Consider the following 25,933-nt stretch of genomic DNA (forward strand, 5'->3'; position numbering starts at 1 on the left):
ATAATAAGTTATAAGGGATCTTTGGGTTGATTTAAAATGACCACCAGCCATTATTACAGCACATCTAAGCTACTGACGTGGCCTCTTTGCTGTTTACACCGACTTATAGCTGTTCTAGACCCAACTCTATCCTTTTTAGGCTGGTCAAAAATTCAACACCAATATCTTCATTCTAGAGAACTTTAACTACATAATGGCAAAAATGATAAGGCAGAAAACTGAAAACAAAGCAATACAAAATCCTATAATAATTGAAAAGAAAAAAATAAAAATGTCCTTATTTTCAGAAGATATGTATCTAGAAAATCCCAGTGAATTAATTGGAATGGAACTAATAAGACAATTCATTCAATGAGATGGCCAGGCAGAAAATGAAGATAGAAATATCAAAGACTTCCCTATGTGTATGTGCATACCTTAGTTAGAAAGCATGATGGGGGAAAAGCACCATTCATAAAAGTCACCCTTTCTGGGGTGCTGGGTTCAAGGTCTCTCATGGAAACAATCCCATTTACTTTTGGCCTCTCGCCCCATCACCCTGGGCTGCACCCTGTCCAAAGGGCTCTGTGGGGACAAATGCCATGGCACCTCCTCTGCTGGCCTTGACACATGTTTCTTTTTACAACACTTAAGATCTGCAGCCCTGCCTGTGACACAGAAAGCTTTAACATTCTCCCATTCAAGGCAGTGCCAGCTCCTCAGAATCATCTCCAATCACATCACCAATTCAGAAGGCTCTGTGTTTGTATCGCTAAAGAGCCCATTTGGCTGGTTTTCCCAGAAAAATGGAACAGTCTCCTCAAATGGACTACTGAAATCGTTTCCTCCTGTCAAACTGAAATGGCTTACTTAGAGTTCTCAAATAACTGACTTCTTTTTACATTGTTAGCTTTGATGTTTCAAAAAGCAACAGTTCTGAGCAAACTTCTCTATAATGGTAAAAACTCTGAAGTCATGGCTTCTGGGGCTGGGAGTTGAAAAAGGCAAGAGATAATTTTCTGGGGTGATGGAAATGTTCTATATCTTGTCTTGGGTGGTGATTCCACAGGTCGGTTTTTGATTTATCGTCAAAATCGTTTTTGATGATTATATCGTCAAAATCGTTTTTGATGATTATATCGTCAAAAATTATTGAATAGAAGACTGAAGATCTGTACACTTTATTGCATGTAAATCAGACTTCAATTAAAAAGTACCTGTAATTCTTAAAAGTTAGGATACATCAGAATTGCCCAGAGTCTTCATAACTTTGCAGAGGTTTAACCTTGAAGATTGTCAGTAGAGCATTGATGGGTGGAGGAAGCTGTATTTTTATCAAGCATCTCCAGGTGGTTCTCTCATTATCCTTTGGGAGACACTGACTTAGGTTCCAAGTTTCAGCTTGGGCACTCCAGACATGGTTCTCGGAGTTTACAGGTTTCTGTGCAGTGTGTAAGCATCAGATGGGCTGGCTTCCTCTCCCTATTGCTGAGGATGACCTTGCTGAGCACACATCCACCTAGAAGTTTCTAGGGGCACTTTCTAGTGACATAGGCCCAGAGTCTTTGGCCACCTCTACTCCAGGCAGAACACAGAAGCACAGCTAAGTCAGAGAAATGGAGTTGCCTGCAGGAAAGACGATGTATTTGCTTTAAATTTCCAGAAAATGCTGATGTCGCCACAGGTATCCCCACCTTTCTTCTGAGATGGGATTTGAAATTTACTAACAATCTCACTGTAGAATCAAAAGTCTTCCTAACTTTTACCTCACCCTGATTCATGGCAGAAAGTTCACTACTGGAGTCACTGCTGTAGGATGAGGTGGAATTTCTTCCCGTAAATCCCTGTTAGAATGCAGAATAACAGAGTAGCAAAGAGCTTCAGAAATTAGATACAGGAACAAATGTCAGGGTGACTAAAAGAAAAATAATCAGCCTGGAAAACATGGTGAGACCTCGTCTCTACTAAAAATATAAAAATTAGCAGAGTTTGGTGGCAGACACCTGCAGTCCCAGCTACTCAGGAGGGTGAGGCATGAGAATCGCTTGAATCCAGAAGGCGGAGGTTGCAGGGAGCCGAGATGGTGCCACTGAACTCCAGCCTGAGCAACAGAGCGAGACTCTGTCTCAAAAACAAACAAACAAACAACAAAAAAAGACAAATAATCAAGGTAAGAAAGGAAGTGGTTTGCTACCCAATGGACCAGTAACAGGGCCTAAGAGTAAAAAGAAAGGTGGATTAAGTTACCCTGAATATACCCCAATTGAGGAATCATTTCTGTTTTGGGAAGAAGAGAAGGCTGTAAAGTAAGACTGAAATTTGTGTATCCCTGGGAGCCAAGCAGACAATTCTACTAGGGATGTCCATTAGATATCTATTACTGCATTACAAACCATCCCAAAACTTGTTGCCTTAAAAAATCGAACATTAGTTCCTAGTTTCTGTAGGTCAGGAATTCTTGAGCAGCTTAGGTGGGTGGTTCTGGCTCAGGGTCTCTCATGAGTCCTAGGCTGTAACCAGCTGAAGGCTTGACTGGGGCCGAACAATCTGCTTCCAAGGTGGTGCACTCACATGGCTGTGGGCAGGAGGCCTCAGTTCCTCAGGAAACAGACCTCGCCCTAGGGTTGCTTGAGTAATCACAACATGGCAGAGGGCTTCCTCCAGAACAAGTGATCCTAGAGAGAGAAGCAAGGAGGAAGTCACTATATCTTTTATGATGGAGTCTCAAAAGCCATACCCCATTATTTCTTCCTCCTCCTATTTGTTAGAAGTGAGTCCTTAAGTACAGCTCACATTAAAAGAGAGGAGAATCAGGCTGTACATTCTGAAAAGAAGAGGATCAAAGAATATGTGGACATATATGAAAACCAATATAGGGTCTCACCCCTTCACTACCTGTGAAGACACTACACACACATACGCAAATATACAAGAAGAGGAAATTTACCTATGCTTTAGAGTGAGAGGTAAACATATGCAGAAACCCTTAAACATCTTACTCCCATACATGTTATTGAGTCAATAGATCCCTTTTATTGTTAAAGACATTTTGAATTAGATTTCTGTCCCCACAGATGACAAAATTTTAACTGCTGCAGAAGGCAATGTGTTAGGGCTATCATGCAAGTAGGCAAGTAGAATGGAGCATAGAGAGACAAGAGCCTTGTGCCCAGAGATAGGGATGCCATCCCAACCCAATGGAAAAAATCATGATTAGTCTAAAGCCAGTTGTGGCAATTCCATTACCCTTGTCATGTAGTTGGCTTAGGTCAGTGGTTCTCAAACTTGAGCATCAGAATCAGCCCCATGTTCTGACTCAGTGGGTCCAGGGTGGGCCAAGAATTTGCATTTCTTTTCTTTTTTTTTTTCTTTTTGAGATGGAGTCTCACCCTGTCCCCCAGGCTGGAGTGCAATGGTGCAATCTCGGTTCACTACAACCTCCGCCTCCTGGGTTCAAGCGATTCTCCTGCCTCAGCCTCCTGAGTAGCTGGGATTACAGGCGTCCGCCACCACGCCCAGCTAATTTTTGTATTTTTAGTAGAGACGGGTTTTCACCATTTTGGCCAGGCTGGAAGAATTTGTATTTCTAACAAGTTCTCAGGTGATGTTGCTGCTGCTGGTCCAAGCACCGCATACTGAGAACCGCTGGTTCAGGCCAATGAAATGGTAGAGGGAGCAGGTTTCAAGGAGGCTCCTGGAGAAGATTTCCTAGGTCTTAAAGAGATCCAAGGAAGAGGCAGGGTTGTGTTTGCTTGTTTTCTGCTTTCCGATGTTTGTGTGTGAAAATGTGCTTCCAGAGCAGTGGTCTTGTGACCAAGGGGAGTGAGCCAAAAAGCTAAGGCTGGCAGAGCAGAGAGAAGCCTTTGATAATGCTGAGTTTTCAAATTCATGAGCCCTGAAGCTTTCTACAGCCATGCTTGTATTGTCAGATGATAAGTTTTCCTATTGACCAAGTCATTAGGAATCAGGTTTTCTGTTTTCTCAGCTGGAAAACAAATACCAAGCGCATTCATATACAAAATGTTAAGGTTTATAATGCACGCTCTGTTCCAGAAAGCAGCATCAATTTACACCTCCTCCAGCAAAACATCTGAGCATTTTCTCCACACTGTTGTCAACACTGGGTAATGGCATTTAAAAAAATCTCTACTAGTGGGTGAAAAATGATATCTCTGGGTGTTCATTTGCATTTCCATGATTACAAGTGAGCTCGAAGATTTTCTAATACACATTCTTCTGGAGGCAGATGCAGTGTAGACAATGAGGCAGCACTATAAACACGTCTCCATGATAATCACCATTCATTGCTTTTGCTCACTCAGGTGGGACTGAAAATACGTGGCTTAGGCTGTAAGCTTGGGTACACTGTTGCACTTGGCAGAAGCTGTTTTGCGGCAGAGGCTTCAAATCTATCCTGATAAGTGGCAAAGAGAAGAACCTTATCCCCAAGATTTGTCTTATGCCTTTGGATCTCTTTTGCTTGAGAAACGTCCTTGTGTGGTTGTCATTTCTCTCTTTACCAAAGCGGTCAGAAGTGTAAACTGTGCTGACACAGGCTTCCTTTCTAAAGCTGAATTAACAATGCATTCTAAATGCAAGGGAAAATCCTCAGGTATTTCACTGCTTCATAAAGCAAGATGCAGCAGCTGCCTGAGGACTGGGTGCTTGTCTGTTTGAAGATAATTATAGCAGGTGATTTGTATCTGCCTTTACCTCTAGCATCATGTATTAGAGTGATCAAGCTTTAGAAGTAATATTTCTGACCAGGATAGGTGGGGTCAGTTGGATCATTTTCTACCAGTTCCCTAAAGCTAAGAATTACCAGGATTCTTGCTCAAAGTCTTCTCATGTGGTATTCTTTCCCCATTTATATTTGCAATTGGAGGCAGCTTGGAGAATAAAAAATTGTCTAAGAAATGTGGTTCTCCATCAGAGAGGCCAAAAGGTCAGGTTGAATAAGCCACAGTGTAGGCATAAACTGTTTTCTTTATTAATCTGACACACACACACACACACACACACACACACACACACACACAGCCTAGCACTCACTCATACACTCTGTGCTCAAAACTGTATGTTCAGAAATGAAAATACACAGACTTGTATTTGGACATTCTCTTATTGATCTGTAGTTTGATGACATCTTTATTGGCACATTGGAGTGATGCTTTCTGGCTACTCAAATAATTAAGTTATAGAGATTTTCAATGACAGTGGAAAACTGGGACCTCTAGCCTGGCTAAAAATTGATGGCAGTTTATTGCTTGAGGATGAAGGCTAACTACTTGGCTGTTTTAAGAAGGCTTACAGAAAGACACTCCTTGCTTTCATCACGGTTGAGAACCCAGATGTCTGCCGTGTGAACCCAAAATCCCGAATATGTTGAGACTTCTTCAGTGGCACTGTCTGGCAAGGGTGACTCACACTGCCCAAGCACCCACAGGCTGGTTTATAAAAGCAGCAGCCTTTATTAATTTAGATTCAAGAGTATTCATGTAAAGAGGAGTCAAGCAATTGAATCCTATGGCCCAGAAGATTCTCTCCCCAGGTGATGGTTCAGTGGGAAGCCAAGTTATCATTAGAAACGTTTGTCAAGTAAGAAGCTAAGGGACCGGTCAGGCAAGAAGAAAAGTGTTGGTAAACACAGAGGTGAGAAAGCATCTGTTATTCAAGAAGCTGCAGGTGTTGCAGTATTCTTGGGGGCTAAAGGCCCAAGGTGGGTGTAGCAGGAAATGAAGCTGAGGAAAGGTAGGCAGTGTGTAGCTCATTCATGATGTGTATCATGTGCAAAAAGATCGAGTTTCTTTCCTGCTCCACCTCCCTCTCCACAGAAAGAAATCCCATTATTTATTTCTATTATAAAAGCAATACCTGTTTATTACAGAACATATCAACAAGTAAAAAGAACCAAAATATTAACAATCATCCCTCCTACCCGAAGATAATCAACCTCATGCCTTGTCGAGCACCCGATTCTGTCCCTGTTTGGGGCACCGCTATGTAACCTGCATGGACCTGGGGGGACTGAACAAAGGGGGCAAACGCGGGAATAAAAGACAAGAGACAAAAGAGTATATTTGGAAGTAGGGGTCAGGGGGCACCTTGCCTCTAGTGGACAAGGGCCCTGAGCTTTACACAGCCCTCCATATTTATTAGGCAAAAGAGATAGTGAGAAGGGGGGTGGAAGAAGGTGTCAGCTACTCGGTCAAGTGTAGGATTGCCAGACTGCATTCTCTAGATGTCCCAGTAGATAACCTCAAGGAGCTTGGCACCAGGAAGTGATTGCTCTCAGCAAACCTTCTGGGGCAGGCACAGTCGTGAGTTTGCCCACATTCTGTATTCATGATGAACAGTTTGCTGTTTGGTCATATAGCCTCAGTGGAAGGCTGAGTTGGTCATGTCCCATGGGCCTTTGGCTCCCTGCAATGCCTCAATCCTTATTCTTCTGTGTGTGAGCAATAAAATACTATTTTCTAAATTGCCTTTTCACTTAACAATATATCCCAAACATATTTTTATGTCAATAATGTATTAATATTTCTGCCACATCTTATAAAATGATGCAAAGTATTCTGCTATATTTATGAGCCAAAATGAACAGTGGTCATTCAAATACCACTTTTTCCTTTCACAAATAATGCTATGGTGAACCGCTTTTTGCATATATCTTTGGCATATGACTGTTCTTTCCATAGGACAAATTTTCATAAACGAGTTGAGTATGTCAAAGGGCATAAAGAAAGAGAATCTTTTGTCATATCCACACCTTCTTCAGTGTTTTGTCTGAAATACCTTTACAACACAGAATAATAAATACATTCAGAGAGTTGAGTCCAAAGTGGCCATTCAGACATGACAATATTATAAAGTCTTGGGTTTCAACTTTAAGTTTTATATAACATTTGTGAATGACTCTATGTTATATAGACATTGATAAAAATGTTTTTCCACTCAAATCTTTGAGTAAAACCTGCTGTTTATTCTGCAGCTTCCTATAGCTCTTGGCATGACTCTTAGTACCTAATGGAGAAGTGTATCTCCAAGCTGGAGGATTAATATGGATGCTGAAGAGCCACCTGGAGGATTTCTGTTGGGGAATAATGTGTTCAGATGATCAGATTGGCTAGCATGAGAGAGAAATTGGAAGGCGCTGAGACAGGAAGCAGGAGGCCTGGTTAGTGGGTTGCCAAAAGTGAAAGTGGGCTGTGCTTACACCAAGCTGGAAGTGTGGGGTTGGGGTTGGCAAACAGGGTTGGAAAGCGGGATGTGAAATTGTCAGACTTTGCTTAATTGATTTGTTATTAAGAATAAGGAAGAGTGAGGAATCTGGGATTGTAAATGTGTTTCCTTTTTTAATCTGACAAATAATCAAATGAGAATTATGTTCCCATCATGTTCCCAGTTTTGCTTTGACCAACAGAAAGCTCACAGCTCAGTTAGTGATCAATAACTGTGCAGTCTTGAGCCGCAACAACAACATTTTATTCAACAATGAACCGCATATTCTACAGTGGTCCCCTAAGATTATAATTCTGTATTTTTACTGTACATTTTCTATGTTTAGATACATAAATACTTAGCATTGTGTTACAACTGCCTACAGTATTCAGTATAGTCACATGCCATCCAGGCTTGTAGCCTAGGAGCAATAGGCCCTGCCATATAGCCTAGTTGCAGGAGGCTATGCCATCTAGGTTTGTGTAAATACACTCTATGATGTTCATAAACCAATGAAATCACCTAATGATGAATTTCTGCAATTGTACCCTATGAGGTAAGTAGGTAAGTGATGCATGACTGTATTTGTATTACTTGTGATGGTGGTTGACTTGCCTGATTCTGATTTTCTGATTCTGGAAGATGGCTCTGATATGTAATTGTAACTAGGCAGTGCATAGTATGTAGGTCAATAATAAATACAAACTGGCTCTTAAGCAAGGCAAGTCCTTTCCACTGGTGACATAAATTCATGAATCCAAGGACAGAGGAACAATAAAGGATATGGATTAAAGGTAAGCATGGCAAGGTGGGCATTATTCAGATTGTGAACAGAGTGGATGAATCCATACTAATCTAGGTAAAATGGGGTTGATTATTTATAGAATTTAAATTTTTAAAATTTAATTCAACCAAGCAACTCTTTGCTCTTCCTTCACTATTTGTCATTACCAAACAGCCGCTTTTACTACTTTTTTTCATTCCTTTAAAATATATCATTAAGTGTATTAGAAATCAGTGTTTAGTCCCAATATTAGCTTATTTTAAATAGAAACTTTGAATTCGTATCCTGAAACCTTCAGATTTCCTTTTATTTGATCCAATTCTTGTGGAGCAGCTCTCTTAGTTACTTGTATCTTTTAATCTTCATCTTTTTATTTGTGCTTCTCTCCTCTTAACTTATGGAGACAGAAATCAAGGCTCCAGCTTGACGTTGGGGTGCTTGAAACTTGAGACTTGGAGAAGCTGCTGTTTGTCCTGAGGCAGGCATGGGCTCTTCGCTGTTTATTTCTTTTTATTAAAAAATGTTTTCCCCTTTCTTAACGTTTTTCTTGATTTTATTTTCAAAATTGCAGAAAGCAAATTGGATTTTCTCCAGTGAGCATGCAAAAGATGATTCTGGACCTTTCTCTTCTCCGCTTCCTCCCTTTCTTCCTTCCTTTCTTAGGATGTTTGCTATACTTTTCCTTTAATTTTTTTCATTCTTTTGAAGAGGAGATGGACTGACTTTAAAAAACCCTATACATACCCCCAGAGGAAGGACAGTCCCAGTTACTCAACATTATATGAGCTCCTTCCTTATCCCTCATCTTAGCCTTTTTTTTTTTTTCTGGGTTCCTTTAGGGAAAATCGTTGGGAACCCTGGTATTTGCATTGAGCCATACCTATTAATTCAACAGTTGAGAATCAGTAGTTTATTATTGGAAATAGTGCTTAACAACAGAATCTGTGCTTTGTCTCTATGTATTAAAGAGGAGATTATTCTAGAAAATGTGGGTCAGTTGCACAGGTGATCTATATTCTGAAGAACTTTTATGCCTTTAGAAGGTTTCCAGGAGGGTGGGCAGCTCATTAACTACTAAAGTGAAATAAAAGGCAGGTTTTAAAGGTAATCTCTGACTAACCTGAGAAAATGTCAACAGTTAGTAAATATATATATATATATATATATATATATATATATATATATATATATATATATTTGGAAGCTACATTATCTTTTGAGTGTCTGATAAAACTTTAGTTATCTGAGAAGGAGGGGCGGAGCAAGGTGGCTGTGTGGAAGTTTCCACAGATTGTCTTCTTGCAAAGACATCAATTTAACAACTATCTGTGCAAAACAAAACAAAACAAAAAAAATGCCTTCACAAGAACCAAAAATCAGATGGGCACTCACAGTACCTGGTTTTAACTTTGTATCACTGAAACAGGCACTGAAGAGTGGGAAAGACAGTTGTAAATCACTGATGCCACCCCGCCTCCATCCCCTGGCAGTGGCTGCATGGTGCAGAGAGAGAATCTGCCTGCTTGGGAAAGGGAGACTGCAGCAATTGTGAAACATTACATTAAACTCAGTGCTGCCCTGATACAGCAGCAAGCAAAACTGGGCTGAACTTAGCTGACACCGACCCCTGGAGGGAGTATTTAAACCAGCCCTAACCACAGGAGACTTGCCCTTTCCAGGAGTCAAAACTTGAGTTCCAGCAAGCCTCACCGCCATGGGCTAAAGTTCTTTGGTGCCCTAAATAAACCTGAAAGGCAGCCTAGGCCACAAGGACAGCAATTCCTAGGTGAGTCCTAGTGCTAAACTGGGCTCAGAGTTAGTGGACTTGAGGAGCAGAAGACCTACTGAGAGACCAGCTGGGGCAGCTAAGAGAGTGCTTGGGCCATTCCTCCCCCAACCCTCTGCTGCATAGCTTCCCCACACCCCAAGAAAAGACTCTTTCCTTCTGCTTGAGGAGAGAGGAAGAGTAAAGAGGACTTTTGTCTTGCATCTTGAATACTAGCTCAGCCACAGTAGGATAGGGCACTGGTCAGAGTCGTGAGGCCCCCATTCCAGGCTCTAGCTCCTGGATGACATTTCTAGACACACCCTGGGCCAGAAGGGAACTGCTTCCATTGAAGAGAAGGACCCAGTCCTGGCAGGACCCATCACCTGCTGACTAAAGAGCCCTTGGGAGCCCTCCCACTGCTCTGAAGGCTGAGTCTCAGGCCGGGCAGCATTCACTTCAAGCTGACTGAAAAGCCCTTGTGCCTTAACAGCATAGCAGTGGTAACGCACCAGTACTCCTCATGGGCCTGTGGTGGTGGTGGCCATGAGGTGAAGCTCCTCTGCCTGTGGAATAGGGAGAGAAGAGCGGGAAGGACAACACTTCATGTTTGAGTGCCAACTCAGATGCAGTAAAATAGAACACCAGGTAGACTTCTAAGGTTTTTGACTCCAGTCCCAGCTCCCAGTTGACATCTCTAGATCTGTCTGGGGCCTGGGAGAACTTGCCATTCTGAAGGGAAGGACATAAACCTGGCCGGCTTTACCACCTGCTGACTGTAGAGCCCCAGGGCCTTGAGCAAACCTCAGCAGTAGCCAGGGAGTGATTGCAGCAGGCCTTGGGTGAGACTCGGTGCTGTGCTGGCTTCAGGTCTGACCAAGTGCAGTCCCAGGGTTGTGGTCACAGGGGTGCTTGTGTCACTCTACACCTAACTCCAGGCAGCTGAGAACAGAGAGAGAGAGAGAGAGAGAGTGACTCCATTTATTTGGGAGAAAGTAAGGGAATAGAATAAGAACCTCTGCCTGCCAGATGTTATCTAAGACCATCAAGGTGGTACCTCTACGAGTCTGCAAATCCCACATCATTACTAGGCTTAGGGTGTCCTCAAATGCAGATAGGCTTGGATCACTATAGCTAAGTCCTTTTGAATACCTAGAAAGTCTTCTCAAGAAGGATGGGTACAAACAATCCCAGATTACAAAGACTATAATAAATACCCAACTCTTCAATGCTCAGACACAGATGAACATCCACAAGCATTAAGATCATCCAAGAAAACATGACGTCACCGAACAAACTAAATAAGGCACCAGGGACCAATCCTGGAGAAACCGAGATATGTGACCTTTCAGACAGAGAATTCAAAATAGCTGTTTTGAGGAAACTTAAAGAAATTTAAGCTAGATACAGAGAAGGAATTCAGTATTCTATCAGATAAATTTGACAAAGAGATTGAAATAATTAAAAGGAAATTCTGGGGTTGAAAAATGCAGTTGACATACTGAAGAATGCACCAGTCTTTCAATAGCAGAATTGATCAAGCAGAAGAAAGAATTAGTGAGCTTGAAGATATGGTATTTGAAAACACATGGAGGAGACAGAAGAAAAAATAGCCTGGAATGGGGTAATCTAAGAGTTATTGGCCTTAAAAAGGAGGTAGAGAAAGAGATAGGGGTAGAAAGTTTATTCAAAGAGATAATAAGAGAGAAAGACTCAAACCTAGAGAAAGATGCCAATATTGAAGTAAAGAAGGTTATAGAACACCCAGCAGATTTAACCCAAAGAAGACTACCTCAAGGCATTTAAGAATTAAACTCCCAAAGGTCAAGGATAAAAATGATTCCAAAAGCAGCAAGAGAAACAAATAACATATAATGACACTCCAATATGTCTGGAAGTAGACTTTCCAATGGAAACCTTACAGGCCAGGAGAGAGTGGCATGACATATTTAAAATGCTGAAGGAAAAAAACTTTTTCCCTAGAATTGTATATCTGGCAAAAATATCCACAAAGAAATAAAGATTTTCCCAGACAAACAAAATTTGAGGGATTTCATAAACACCAGACCTGTCCTAAAATAAATGCCAAAGGGAGTACTTCAGTCAGAAAGGAAAAGGATGTTAATGAGCAAGAAGAAATCAACTGAAGGTATAAAACCCAATGGTAATAGTAATTGTACACAGAAAAACACAGAATATTATAACAATGTACCTGTGATATGTAAAACTCCTATTTTAAGTAGAAAGACTAAATGGTGAACCAATAAAAAATAATAACTACAAATTTGCAGGACATAGACAATACAATAAGATATAAATAGAAACAACAAAAAATTGAAAAGTAGGGGGATGAAGTTAAAGTGTAGAGTTTTTATTAGTTTTTTTGCTTATTTGTTTATGTAAACAGTATTAAGTTGTTATCAGCTTAAAATAATGGGTTATAAGATAGTATTTGCAAGTCTCATGGTAACCTCAAATCTAGAAACATATAATGGATACACACACGAAAAGCATGAAATTAAATAATACCACCAGAGGAAATTATATTCACTAAAAGGAAGACAGGAAGGAAGGAAAAATGAAAGAGAAAAACCATAAAACAACCAGAAACCAAATAACAATGGCAGGAGTAAGTCCTTATTTAACAATAATAACATTGAATGTCAATGGACTAAACTCTCCAATCAAAAGACATAGAGTGGCTGAATGGATTAAAAAAAAAAAAAAAAAAAAACAAGACCCAATAATCTGTTGCCAACAAGAAACACATTTCTCCTATGAAGACACACATAGACCGAAAAAGGGGGATGGAAAAAGATATTCCATGCCAATGGAAACTAAAAAAGAGCAGGAGGAGCTAGCTATACCTATATCAGACAAAATAAATTTAAAGACAAAAATTATAAGAAGAAACAACGAAGATCACTATATGATGATGATGGGGCCAATTCAGCAAGAGGAAATAACAATTATATATGCATCCAACACTGGAGCACTCAAATATGTAAAGCAAATATTATTAGAGCTAAAGAGAGAGATAGGCCCTCATACAGTAATAGCTGGAGTCTTCCACATTCCACTTTCAGCATTGGACAGATCTTTCATACAGAAATCAACAAAGAAACCATCAGACTTAATCTGCACTATAGACCAAATGGACCTAACAGATATTTACAGAACATTACATCCAATGGCTGAAGAATACACATTATTTTCCTCTGCACATGGATCATTCTCAAGGATAGACCATATGTTGGGTCAAAAAGCAAGTCTTGAAACATTAAAAACTGTTGGAGTAATATCAAGTATCTTCTCTGACCATAATAGAATAAAAGTAGAAATTGATAGCAAGAAGAATTTTGGAAACTATACAAACACGTGGAAATGAAACAATATGAACCTGAATGACCAGTGGGTCAATGAAGAAATTAAGAAGGAAACGGAAAAGTTTCTTGAAACAAATGATAATGGAAACATAACATACCAAAACCTATGGGATACAGCAAAGGGAGTACTTACTAAAAGGGAAGTTTGCAACTATAAGTGCCTACATCAAAAAAGAAGAAAAACTTCAACTAAACAACCTAAGGATGCATCTTAAACAACTAAAAAAGCAAAAGCAAACCAAATCCAAAATTAGTGGAAGAAAATAAATAATAAAGGTTACAGCAGAAATAAATGAATTTGAAATGAAGAAAACAAAAAATCAACAGAACAAAATGTTGCTTTTTTCTGAAAAGATAAACAAAATTGATAAACCATTAGCTAGACTAATTAAGAAAAAGAGAGACATTAGACTCAACAAAATCAGAGATGAAAAAGGAGACATTACAACTGATACCACAGAAATTCAAAGGATTGTTAGTGGCAACTATGAGCAACTATATGCCAATAAATTTGGAAATCTAGAAGAAATGTATAAATTCCTAGACACATACAACTTACCAAGACTGAACCATGAAAAAATTCAAAACCTGAAAAGACCAATGACAGGTAATGAGATCAAGGTCATAATAAAATGTCTTTCAGCAAAGAAAAGCCCAGAACCTGATAGCTTCACTGCTGAATTCTACCACACTTTTTTTTTTTTTTTTTGAGATGGAGTCTCACTGTGTTGCCCAGGAGGGAGTGCAGTGGCGCCATCTTGGCTCACTGCAACTTCCATCTCCCAGGTTCAAATAATTCTCCTGCCTCAGCCTCCTAAGTAGCTGGGATTACACAGGTGCACACCACCATGCCCAGCACACACCTGTAAACCCAGCTACTCGGGAGGCTGAGGCAGGAGTAGTAATTTTTTTGTTTTTTTGTATTTTTAGTAGAGATGGGTTTTCACCATGTTGGGCAGGCTGGTCTTGAACTCCTGAACTCTGGTGATCTGCCCTCCTTGGCTTCCCAAAGTGCTGGGATTACAGGCATGAGCCACTGCCCTTGGCCCATACCAAACTTTTAAAGAAGAACTAGTACCAATCCTACTCAAACTATTCCAAAAAATGCAGGAGGGGGGAATACTTTCAAACTCATGTCATGAGGCCAGTATCATCCTGATACCAAAACCAGACACAGGCACAGCAGAAAAAGAAAACTACAGGTCAATATGCCTGATGAATACTGATGCAAAAATCCTCAACAAAATGCTTAGCAAATTGAATTCAGCAACATATTAAAAAGATTGTTCTTCATGACCAAATGGGATTTATCCTAGGGATGCAAGGATGGTTCAACATATGCAAATCAATTAATGTGATACTTCATATCAACAGAATGAAGGACAAAAACTATATGATCATTTCAGTTGATGCTGAAAAAACATTTGGTAAGGCTCAACATCCCTTCATGATAAAAACTCTAAAAAAAAAAAACTGGGTATAGAATGAACATACCTCAGTGTAACAAAAGCCATATACAATAGACCCATAGCTACTATCATACTGAATGAGGAAAAACTGGAAGTCTTTCTTCTAAGATTGGGAACATGACAAGGATGCCCACATTTACCACTGTTATTCAACATAGTACTGGAAGCCTTAGATAGAGCAAGGCATACAAGAGAAATAATGAAGAGCATCTATCTGGATTGGAAATGAAGAAGTCAAATTATTCTTATTTGCAGATAATATGATCTTGTATTTGGAAAAACCTAAAGGCTCCACCAAAAGACTATTAGAACTGATAAACAAATTCAGTAAAGTTGCAGGATACAAAATCAACGTACAAAAATCAGTAACATTTCTATATGCCAACAGTGAACAATCTGAAACAGAAATCAAGAAAGCAACCCCATTCACAATAGCTACAAATAAAATAAAATACCTAGGAATTAACTTAAGCAAAGAAGTAAAAGATCTCTACAATGAAAACTATAAAACATTGCAAGAAATTGAAGATACTAAAAAATGGAAAAAGATTCCATGTTCATGGATTGGAAGAATCAATATTGTTAAAATGTCCATACTACCCAAAACAATCTACAGATTTAATGTAATTCCTGTCAAAACATCAATAACATTCTTCTTCATGGAAATAGGGAAAAGAATTCTAAAATTTATGTGGAACCACAAAAGACCCAGAATAGCCAAAGTTATCCAAATGCAAAAAGTACAAAACTGGAGGAATTACATTACCTGACTTTAAATTACACCACAGAGCTATAGTAACCAAAATGGCATGGTATGGGCAATAAAACAAACACATAGACCAATGGAATAGAATAGAGAACCCAGTAATAAATCCATACATCTACAGTGAACTCATTTTTGACAAAGGTGCCAAGAACCTACACTGGGAAAAAGACAGTCTCTTCAATAAATGATGCTGGGAAAACTGAATATCCATCTACAAAAGAATGAACTAGAACTCTATCTCTTTCCGTAGACAAAAATCAAATCAAAATAAAGACTAAAGACTAAGACCTCCAACTATGAAGCTACCAAGAGAAAATATTGGGGAAACTCTCCAGGACATTGGAATGGGCAAAGATTTCTTGAGTAATAACCCACAAGCCTAGGCAACCAAAGCAAAAATGGACAAATGGGATCTCATCAAGTTAAAAAGCTTCTGCACAGCAAAGGAAGCAGTCAACGAAGTGAAAAGGCAACCTAAAGAATGAGAGAAAATATTTTCAAACTACCCATCTGACAAGGGATTAATAACCAGAATACATAAGGAGCTCAAACTCTATATGAAAAATCTAATAATCCAATTAAAATATGGGCAAAAGATCTGTATAAGCACTTCTCAAAAGAAGACATACAAATGACAAACAGGTATATGAAAACGTGCTCAATATCATAGATCATCAGAGAAATGCAAATCAAAACTACAACGAGGTATCATCTTACCCCAGTTAAAATGGCTTTTTGTTTTCCCCAAAATTCAGGCAAGAAGAAATGCTGGAGAGGATTGCAAGCATCTGTGGAGTCATTCTATTTTTAAATTCACCTTCCAATTGTTTTCTTAAAACCATTGACAAATATATAAACTGGTTAATCTTTCTAAATATTGTCTCATTACAAAAGCTTTCATTATTTTCCAGATTAAGTAGAAATCATTGAATAAAAATAACTCCAAATTATTAAACAAACAAACAAACAAAAATGATCCAATGATCTGGAACATTTTCTTCCCAAGCGAAAAGAGTTGAAAGTTCATTCTTTTTTTTTTTTTTTTTTTGTAGCCCAGAGGTCCTTTATTTTTTTTTTTAACACCTATTATGCCATGAATTCATAGGGAATAGGTTCCAGCAGCTCAGGCTCCTTCCCATTGGTTCTCACAAAGTGTGCTTCTCTGGGTGGAGCAGGCTGGCGCTTTAGTTGAACCCAGGTACCTTTCTCTTTGGCTTCTTTCTTTTTCTGATCATTTTCCTTCACACGTTTCAGGAAGCTATCTCGGCTCTTAGAGTGCTTAATGTGCTCAATACGCACATTAATTCTCTTGGCAAGAATCTTGCCCTTAACTTGTTTGTTTACAACAATGCCAACAGCATGCTGGGTAACATTGTAGACTCTTCCAGTTTTGCCATGGTAACACTTGTGGGGCATTCCTTTTTGAACAGTACCCATTCCCTTGATGTCTACAATATCACCTTTCTTATAGATTCGCATATATGTGGCCAAAGGAACAACTCCATGTTTTCTAAAAGGCCTAGAGAACATATATCGGGTGCCTCTCCTCTTTCCCTTTGTGTTCGTCATTTTGGCGAATTACTGGAAGATGGCGGTTCCGGCCGAAAGGGAAAGTTCATTCTTGAGCTGAGGCAGACAAACCATTTGGCTTTCTTCAAGGCAAATCACAGGTAAACATGGATTTAGATTATGTCTGTTCTAGCAAACTTTTTATTCACATGAAAAGGGCCTACATAAATATCAGTTCAAAGCAGAGAAATATGCTTTGGATAAACCAGGGAAGTTTGTTTCTGCAACAATATCAGTAGGTTGAGTATTAGATAGACCAAAGAAGGTGTCATTCGTCACCTGGAAAGTTGAGAGAGAAAAATCCATTGAAAACTGAAGATGGAAGAGACTGATACTGCTGTTTTGAATTTATGAGAGTCCAGAGGTGAGAGTTATAACCAGGCATTCCCTACTGTAGACATTTGCCAATTTATGCCCTCATGTTGCAATGAATCTTCAGAAGGACTAAGCATGGATGCTATTATTAAAGCTAATTAAATCGCTCTGAATTACAGCTCATCCAGGGTATTAGCTAACAGAATGGTCATCATACTGTCTGGAAGAAATAAATAAAAGGGGATTGGTTGAGTAAGGAATTCCACTGATGGGGTTTTTTGTTATTTTTCATTCAAAAATAAGCTCTCTGGAAATACTAGAAATTAAGACCCACTGTGCTTCATCTCTTAGAAGTGTTGTGTAATAGTGGTCCGACCCATGTTCATTGTTGAGAAGCAGGAACTGATTTTCTTGTCTAGTTTTTTAAAAAATCACATTTGCCAAAGTAATTAAATGAAAGGCTAATTGACAACAAACTTCCTATTGCCCTATAGTCACAACTTACATATGAAATAGCATATTTTGTTTCTCTTTTTGCATTTCAATATGGCAAAACCATTGATGTCTGAGGGACAGGCAGAGAGCAGATTAGTTTCCAGGCTCTAAACAATAACCAGAAAATGGCTTGTAATGAAAATCCAAGTTGAATATCACCATTGTGACAAGAAAAGGGAGATGTAATGAACCCAACAGCATCATCTATAGGAAAAGTAATTTAAAATGTTCACATAAAGTACAGCTAGTTTGGAGTGCAAATGAGCAGGAAAAGGGTTTTTGGAATCCATTTGGATGCATGTGGAGTGCATTTGAAAGTGATGTTGTATCATACTAGATATATATGTGTGTTTGTATATGTGTGTGCACGAATGGATGCCTGAGTCATATATATATGTGTATATATATGCATAGATGTATATATGTATATCTACATATGTAAAGTTACAAGTATATTTGACAAAATGAATGCAGTGGAGGAATGTGATTAATCAAATTATTTTTTATAATCCCTGTAGTTTGAAAAATAATTCACTTGGCTGGATTATGGCATGGAGGAAATCCTTAAAAAGAATCCCAGGGACCTGCTACGTCTCTGTGAGGGTCAGTTTATGTGTCAACTTGCCTAGGACATAGTACCCAATTATTTAACCAAAACAGTAGTTTAGGTGTTGTCATGAAGGTATTTTGTAGATGTAGTTAGCATCTATAAGCAATTGGCTTCAAATAAGGGGATTTCCTTAAGAGCAAAAACTGAGATTTCCCAGAGGGAAAATTCTGTCTCAATACTGCAGCATCAGTTCCTGCCTGAGCTTCTATCCTACTGACCACGTCAATTTCAGACTTGTGAGGCCCCGCAATCAAATGAGCCAATTCCTTAAAATAAATAAATCTCTTTAATTATTATATGCATTTGTATGTGTATACATGTGTATGTCTATTTATATCTATCCTACTGGCTCTATTTCTCTGGAGAGCCTTGACTGATAGTCTCAGATAACCTTCATATACTAGACAGTTCCAGCCTTCCCTGTACATTGCCTGATTTGAGTCTCAACTTTCAATGACCTCACTTGATTTATATTTAAATTATTTCATATTCATTTAAACACAGATATTAAAACGTGGTTGGAATTCTGATGAAAGTTTTCACTGAGGGAAAGTAGCTGAGATAATGGAATGATATTCCGTACCATACTTATTCTTCAGAGATCTGAAGCTGGGATTTCTTTCCTTGAGGTTTATGTTCTTTTTTGTTTGTTTGTTTGAGACAGGGTCTCGTTCTGTCGCCCAGGCTGGAGTGCAGTGGCGCGATCTCGGCTCACTGCAAGCTCCGCCTCCCAGGTTCACGCTATTCTCCTGCCTCAGCCTCCTGAGTAGCTGGGACAACAGGCGCCCGCCAGCACACCTGGCTAATTTTTTGTATTTTTAGTAGAGATGGGGTTTCACCGTGTTAGCCAGGACGGTCTCGAGCTCCTGACCTCGTGATCTGCCCGCCTCGGTCTCCGAAAGTGCTGAGATTACAGGTGTGAGCCACCGCGCCCGGCCCGAGGTTTATGTTCTTATATAGAGACACAGAGCAGACTCAACATAGTAATGCAATTTATTAATAGGTAGCTCTTAGACTTTGGATGCACAATGTTTAAGAGGAATATGATGCTATCAGTTTTCTTTGTTTCTTTCTTTCTTTTAATATTTATTTATTTATTTATTTATTTATTTATTTATTTATTTATTTTGAGACAGAGTCTCACTCTATCGCCCTGGCTGGAGTGCAGTGGCACGATCTCAGCTTACTGCAACTTCTGCCTCCCAGGTTCAAGCGAGTCTCCTGCCTCAGCCTCACGAGTAGCTGAGACTACAGGCATGAGCCACGACACCTGGCTAATTTTTTGTATTTTTAGCAAAGACAGGGTTTCACCATGTTGGCCAGGCTGGTCTCAAACTCCTGAGCTCAAGTGATCCATCTGCCTCTGCCTCCCAAAGTTCTGGGATTATAGTTGTGAGCCAACGTGCCCAGCATTTTTTTTTCTTCCAGGTTCAAGTGATTCTCCCACCTCAGTCTCCACAGTAGCTGGGACTACAGGTGTATGCCACCACACCAGGCTAAATTTTGTATTATCAGGTTTCTTTAAGTGAAAATGGATAGTAGGACAAGGATTTTGAAATTTGCGAGCAGTTTTGAATTCTTTGGTCTGAAGTACAGTTTTAAATTTTCTACCATTACTAATAGAAAAGAAAAAAATCTTACCAGAAGTAATCTAAAACCTGGATGATTTGTTAGATGAGTGAGCTAACTGCCGTTATTGAGGATCTACAGATTACCTGGCCACTGACTTTCGGGCAAGCAACTTCAGTATTCTGGAACAAAAGTAAGGGTGCAGTTTGTCTCCATCACCCCCAAACCCCCACTTTTCCCCAGAGGATGGGGAGGGGTCCTCTGGCTGGTGAGTTGAGGGGATGACCAGACATTTCCTGGGATCAGCCTTCCTGCAGGATGGGTGTGTTCTGCCTGCCTTGCCCTCTCCAGGGGGCTAAGAGGCCTCACACTGTGCAGAGAGCCAGCGATTGCTCAGTTCAGCTTGTGCCTGGGCAGCCGAGTTCATTTCTAAAGTGCTAGATGCCTTGTTGTGGCTGCGCGTGAAAGCCATGTCCAGAATTTATAGTAAGAAAGTGGAGTGGAGCTGCCACTTTGATCTCTGTTGGTCATGTGGGTCTTATTCCTCAATTAAGAGCCAGCGATTGCTCAGTTCAGCTTGTGCCTGGGCAGCCGAGTTCATTTCTAAAGTGCTAGATGCCTTGTTGTGGCTGCGCGTGAAAGCCATGTCCAGAATTTATAGTAAGAAAGTGGAGTGGAGCTGCCACTTTGATCTCTGTTGGTCATGTGGGTCTTATTCCTCAATTAATTTCTAACTCTAAAAAATGAAACAACGGAATGTCATTTAACTACCTAAAGTCCCAACGATATCAGCCCGACACTTCTTGAGCACCATACCAGACAGGGTTCTTGATTGAGCACAATCATGGATTGAAATAATCACTAGTTTTAAAATGTTCATATCACCCAGTGCAATCTACAGATTTAACGTAATCCCTATCGAAATAGGACTGACATTCTTCATGGAAACAGAGAAAAGAATTCTAAAATTTATATGGGACCACAAAAGACCCAGAATACCAACTTGAGTTAATTTAAGCAAAAGAGGAGTTTGTGGCAAAAGATTAGCAAGCCCAAGGGGAAGGCTGGAAAACTACACTCGGGTAATGGTCCAGTGCAAGGGAAGCCAGGCAGCCAGAACCGAGGGTCACCCATGGTTCCAGCCTGGTTAGAACCCCCGCGCCCTAGGGTACAGGTGGTGCCCCTGGACCTGGGATGCAGCCCCTCTACACTGTCCCTCCTTTTCTGCTTCTGTCACTCCCAGGTCACAGGTGCAGGCTGGGGCATCCTAGTTGCTGAGCTTAAGTCACCAGTAAACCACGTTAGGGACAGCAGGACCAAGTGAAAAGCATCTGGGCCTTGACGTCTATAGTTGGATGTCCCTGCATCCCACCAACCTTCAAACAGAGGAAGAGCACTGGAAAAGATCCCTCCCAAAAGAAAAACCAACAAACATTCCCTGCCAGGGCTGTATCTCCACATTTATTCTTCGTAGCTACTATTATTGTCCCCATTTTACAGATTAAGACGTTGAGCTTTAGAAAGGTGACGTGCCCTCCGTATGGCCACACAGCTAAAAAGCCATCTGACTCCATAGCCCAAGCAGTGAACTGCTCCAACAACTACCGCTGAGCTCTTCAATTTTAATACAGCAAATTGAGGGACACACTTCATTGTATCATCTTAGCTCAGGCTGCCATCACAGAATACCATAGGCTGGGTGGCTTAAACAACCAAAATTTATTTTCTTATAGTTCTAGGGGCTGGAAGTTTGAGACGGAGGTGCCAGCATGGTTGGTTCTGGTGAAGGCCCTCTTCCTGGATTGCGGACAGGGCCTTCTTGCTATGTCCTGACAGCGGGAGAGAGAGAAGAAGCTCCCTCTCTTTTGTTTATTCTTATGAGGACACTCATCATATCATATCAGGGCCCTAACTTTATGACTTCATTTAACCTGAATTGCTTTTGTAAAGGATCAATTTCCACAAAGTCACATTGGGAGGTTAGGGCTTCAACATATGAATTTTGAGGTTTATATTTGAGTCCAGAGCATATATGATTAAGACCAACCCAAATGCCCATCAATGATAGACTGGATACAGAAAATGTGGCACATATATACCATGGAATACTATGCAGTCATAAAAAAGAATGAGTTCATGTCCTTTGCAGGGACATGGATGAAGCTGGAAACCATCATTCTCAGCAAACTAACACAGGAACAGAAAACCAAACACAGGACATTTTCACTCATAAAAGTGGGAGCTGAACAATGACAACACATGGACACAGGGAGGGGAACATCACACATTGGGGCCTGTTGGGGGGCGGAAGTGTAGGGGAGGGAGAGCATTAGGAGAAATACCTAATGCATGTGGGGCTTAAAACGTAGATGATGGGTTGATAGGTGCGCAAACCACAATGGCACATGTATACCTATGTAACAAATCTGCATGTTCTGCACATGTATCCCAGAACTTAAAGTAAAATTTAAAAAGACTTTCCCGCCTCAAAAAAATTAAAAAAAAAGACTTTCCTGGTTTTGGCGGTTTTGCAAAACAATCTCAAACCGTGCAGCTGATTTCCTAAAGGCTTTCCAACTTAGTATATTTTTCAACTTGGCAACAGCATCTTCTCACCAGATGTTTTCAAAAATCTCTTAACTTTAACCTGAGGATGTGGATGTATTTTTGTTTAGGGATTAAAAGTGTTTTCTCCTCTCAGTTACTGAATCTTCTCTTCACTGTTCTTCTGATGCTAAGGGCTTGCCATTTGCTGTAGTGAGCTGGGGAGATTAGAAATTGTAAATCAAAGTCTAATCACATTTACCCCCAGAAAATCTGATGATAACAGAAAGCCTCCTCCCAAGCCCTAAAACTACCTCCTCCTTGTATTCTCCTACTGTGTTTATGTTGCATGTCTGATCATTCTAACAGTAACTTACTCTTTTGAGCACGGCGGAAAACTTAAATCGGATGGAAACAGTTACATTTTAATTAACTCCCCTGAGAGTAGGAAATCGTGTTAATTAAAAAAAAAATCCCATTCTTCATTTTTCTCCCATGTGATTTTTGCCTTCTATTTGCTCATCCTTTTGTTTTTGGAATTGAGTCTGACACAGGTGAAGCCTGTGTAGGAGGCATCCTGGGTGCAGATGCAGTTGCCCGGTTTACTGTCTAAGGAGACCATCGTGGTTTCCTTAGCTGGAGCCCTACTTAGAAACCTGAGACATCAACCCTCCTGAAAGGCCAGTGGGCCCCTGTGTAAGTGCTCTGACCACAGTATCCAAAGGAGATCAACCAGTGCACCCAACGCTGTGCCCACAGTTGTCAGGGGAATGAGTAGGGAGATGAGCAGGAGTGGCAGGAATGGGCATCAGAGCCAGTCACAAGCTTCTGATATGGCTCAGTCCACTTCCAGCTGTGATCCAGGGACAGAGCCAACCTTGCAAACTAAAGGTAGGGGGATATAAGATACTAAGTTTAGCTCTATATAGTGTAGACTCAAAAAATGGTATCTTTTTATTTTATTTTATTTATTTATTTTTATTTAAGTTCTAGGGTACATGTGCACAACATGCAGGTTTAAAAAATGGTATCTTAAGAAAAACAGGCGTTTACTTTTCTCATCTAAGGAGAAGTCTATAGGTGGGAAACAAAATATAAAATTGGGACTCCATAAAGTAATCCCAGGCTCATCTACCTTTCTGTTCTGTCATTCTTAGTATATAGCTTTGAATCTATAGGTCGCTTCTTGGCCACAGACCTGCTGCTGGAGTGACAGCTATCACACCTAAGTTCCAGGCAGGGAGAAGGGATACGAAGGACAAAAGGCATATGCCAATGGAATTATCCTCTTCCAATCCCTCTCCTCCTTCTAGGAAAATTTCCCAGAATCTACAACTCTTGTCACCCATCCAACAACTTTTCTCTGCTCATGCGTCATAGACCAGAACTTGGTTGTTCATAGACCAAAATGTGGCTACTCCTATCTTTAGGTGATGCTGGGAGATGCAGGTTTGTTTGTCTGTTTTTAACCTGGACACATTACCTCTTGAGAAAATGTTGGGCATTAGAAACAATCAGTGTGCCTGGAGGGTTGGCTTGAGAAATTTCACCATATTGTGCAATTATCATATTTATGAAGTTACCATATTTATGAAATTATCAAGAAAAACTCGGCTCACAAGGTTTGCCATGAGCTGGCCTCTGCCTACTTGTCCTAATTTTTTTTTTTCTTTTTGAGACAGAGTCTGGTTCTGTCACTCAGCCTGGAATGCAGTGGCACGATCTCAGCTCACTGCAACCTCTGCCTCCTGGGTTCAAGCGATTCTCCTGTCTCAGCCTCCAAAGTAGCTGGGATTACAGGCACCTGCCACCACGCCTGACTAATGTTTGTATTTTTAGTAGAGATGGGGTTTTACCATATTGGTCAGGCTGGTCTCGAGCTCCTGACCTCAGGTGATCCACCTGCCTCAGCCTCCCAAAGTGCTGGGATTACAGGTGTGAGCCACCTCTCCTGGCTAAATTTTATACTTTCTCTGTCTGAATTTTTGTGTGGCTGGCTCCTTAAATGTCACTTTTTCAGAGAAGATGTTCCTCAAGTTTAATGCATCCTCCCCACCCCCCAGTCACTCTCTGATCACCCAGCCTATTTTATTTTCCTTCTGCAGCTTTCAACATGAGACACTGCTATGATCTGAATGTTTATTTTCCTCTGAAATTCAAATGTTGAAATCTAATCACCAAGGTCATAGTGTTAGGAAGCGGGGCCTTTGGGAGGTGATTAGGTCCTGAGGTTGGAACCCTCGTGAATGGGATTAGTGCCTGGATGAAAGGGAGCTCAGAGAGCTGCCTTGTTCCTTCTACCAGATAAGGATACAGCAAGAAGGCATCGTCTATGAGGAATGGGTCTTTGTCAGACACCCATCTGCCAGTACCTTGATTTTGGACTTCCTAGTCTTCAGAACTGTAAGATACAAATTTCTGTTAAGACTTACTATTTGATACCAAAACAGAGTGACTATAGTCAATAATAACTTAACTGTACATTTCTAAATAACTAAAAGAGTGTAATTGGATTGTTTGTAACACAAAGGGTAACTGAGAGAATGGATTTAAAAAATAACATATAAAAAAAGAAAAGGAAATAGAAAAAAAGAAAATGGGGTTTTCTTTACTTATAATGGAATACTACTCAGTCATAAAAAAGAATGAAATCATGTTTTTTTCCAGCAACATGGATAGAACGGGAGATCATTATTTTAAGTGAATAACTCAGAAAGTTAAGTAATACATGTTCTCACTTATAAGTGGGAGCTAAATCATGGGCACATAAGGACCTAGAGAGTGGAATAATAGATATTGAAGACTTGGAAGGGTGGGAGTTGGGGATGGGGTGAGGGATGATAAATTACTTAATGGATACAATGTATACTATTTGGGTGATGGCTACACTAAAAGCCCAGACTTTACTACTTCGCAATAGTAACAAAATAACACTTGTGTCCCTGAATCTATAAAACATTAAAAATCGAAGGTGTTACTTATAAAAAAAAAGAAAGAAAAAAGAAAAGAAAAGAAAACGGAATATGATTCTGTTGTTTAAAAGCCTCCCAGGCTAAGGCATTGCATTATAGCAGCCTGAACACATGGACAGGCAGGCTTCTGTTCATTTGTCTACAGCCTGTGTCCCCCCACCAGAATACAATCCCTTGGAGAGAGCAGGCACCTGTGTGTCTTGTTCCCTGCTGATGACATCTCAAAATTTCTGGAGGAACATAAATGATGAGCTTACCTAAATTTGAAAAGAAATCACTTTAAAACAAATCACAATGGCAATTAACCTTTTATATGACAATGGATAAAGAACAACACCTCACTGCTCCACATTTTTCTCCAGCTCCTGGTTCACATTTGGACCTCAATCGAATCACAAATTAGTACCTGACCTGGACCTCCAGGGTTATTCTAAAATAGAAGGAACCTTGATTGCAAAATCTCAACAAGGCACAGCTCTACCGTGCACC

General features: G+C 40.1%; 1 pseudogene; it reads right to left on the reverse strand.

Moving 5' to 3' along the window:
* On the reverse strand, positions 16,401-16,982 carry RPL21P16 (ribosomal protein L21 pseudogene 16; annotated as a pseudogene).

Source organism: Homo sapiens, chromosome 10, assembly GCF_000001405.40.
Source record: "Homo sapiens chromosome 10, GRCh38.p14 Primary Assembly".
In the NCBI taxonomy this organism is placed as follows: Eukaryota; Metazoa; Chordata; class Mammalia; order Primates; family Hominidae; genus Homo; species Homo sapiens.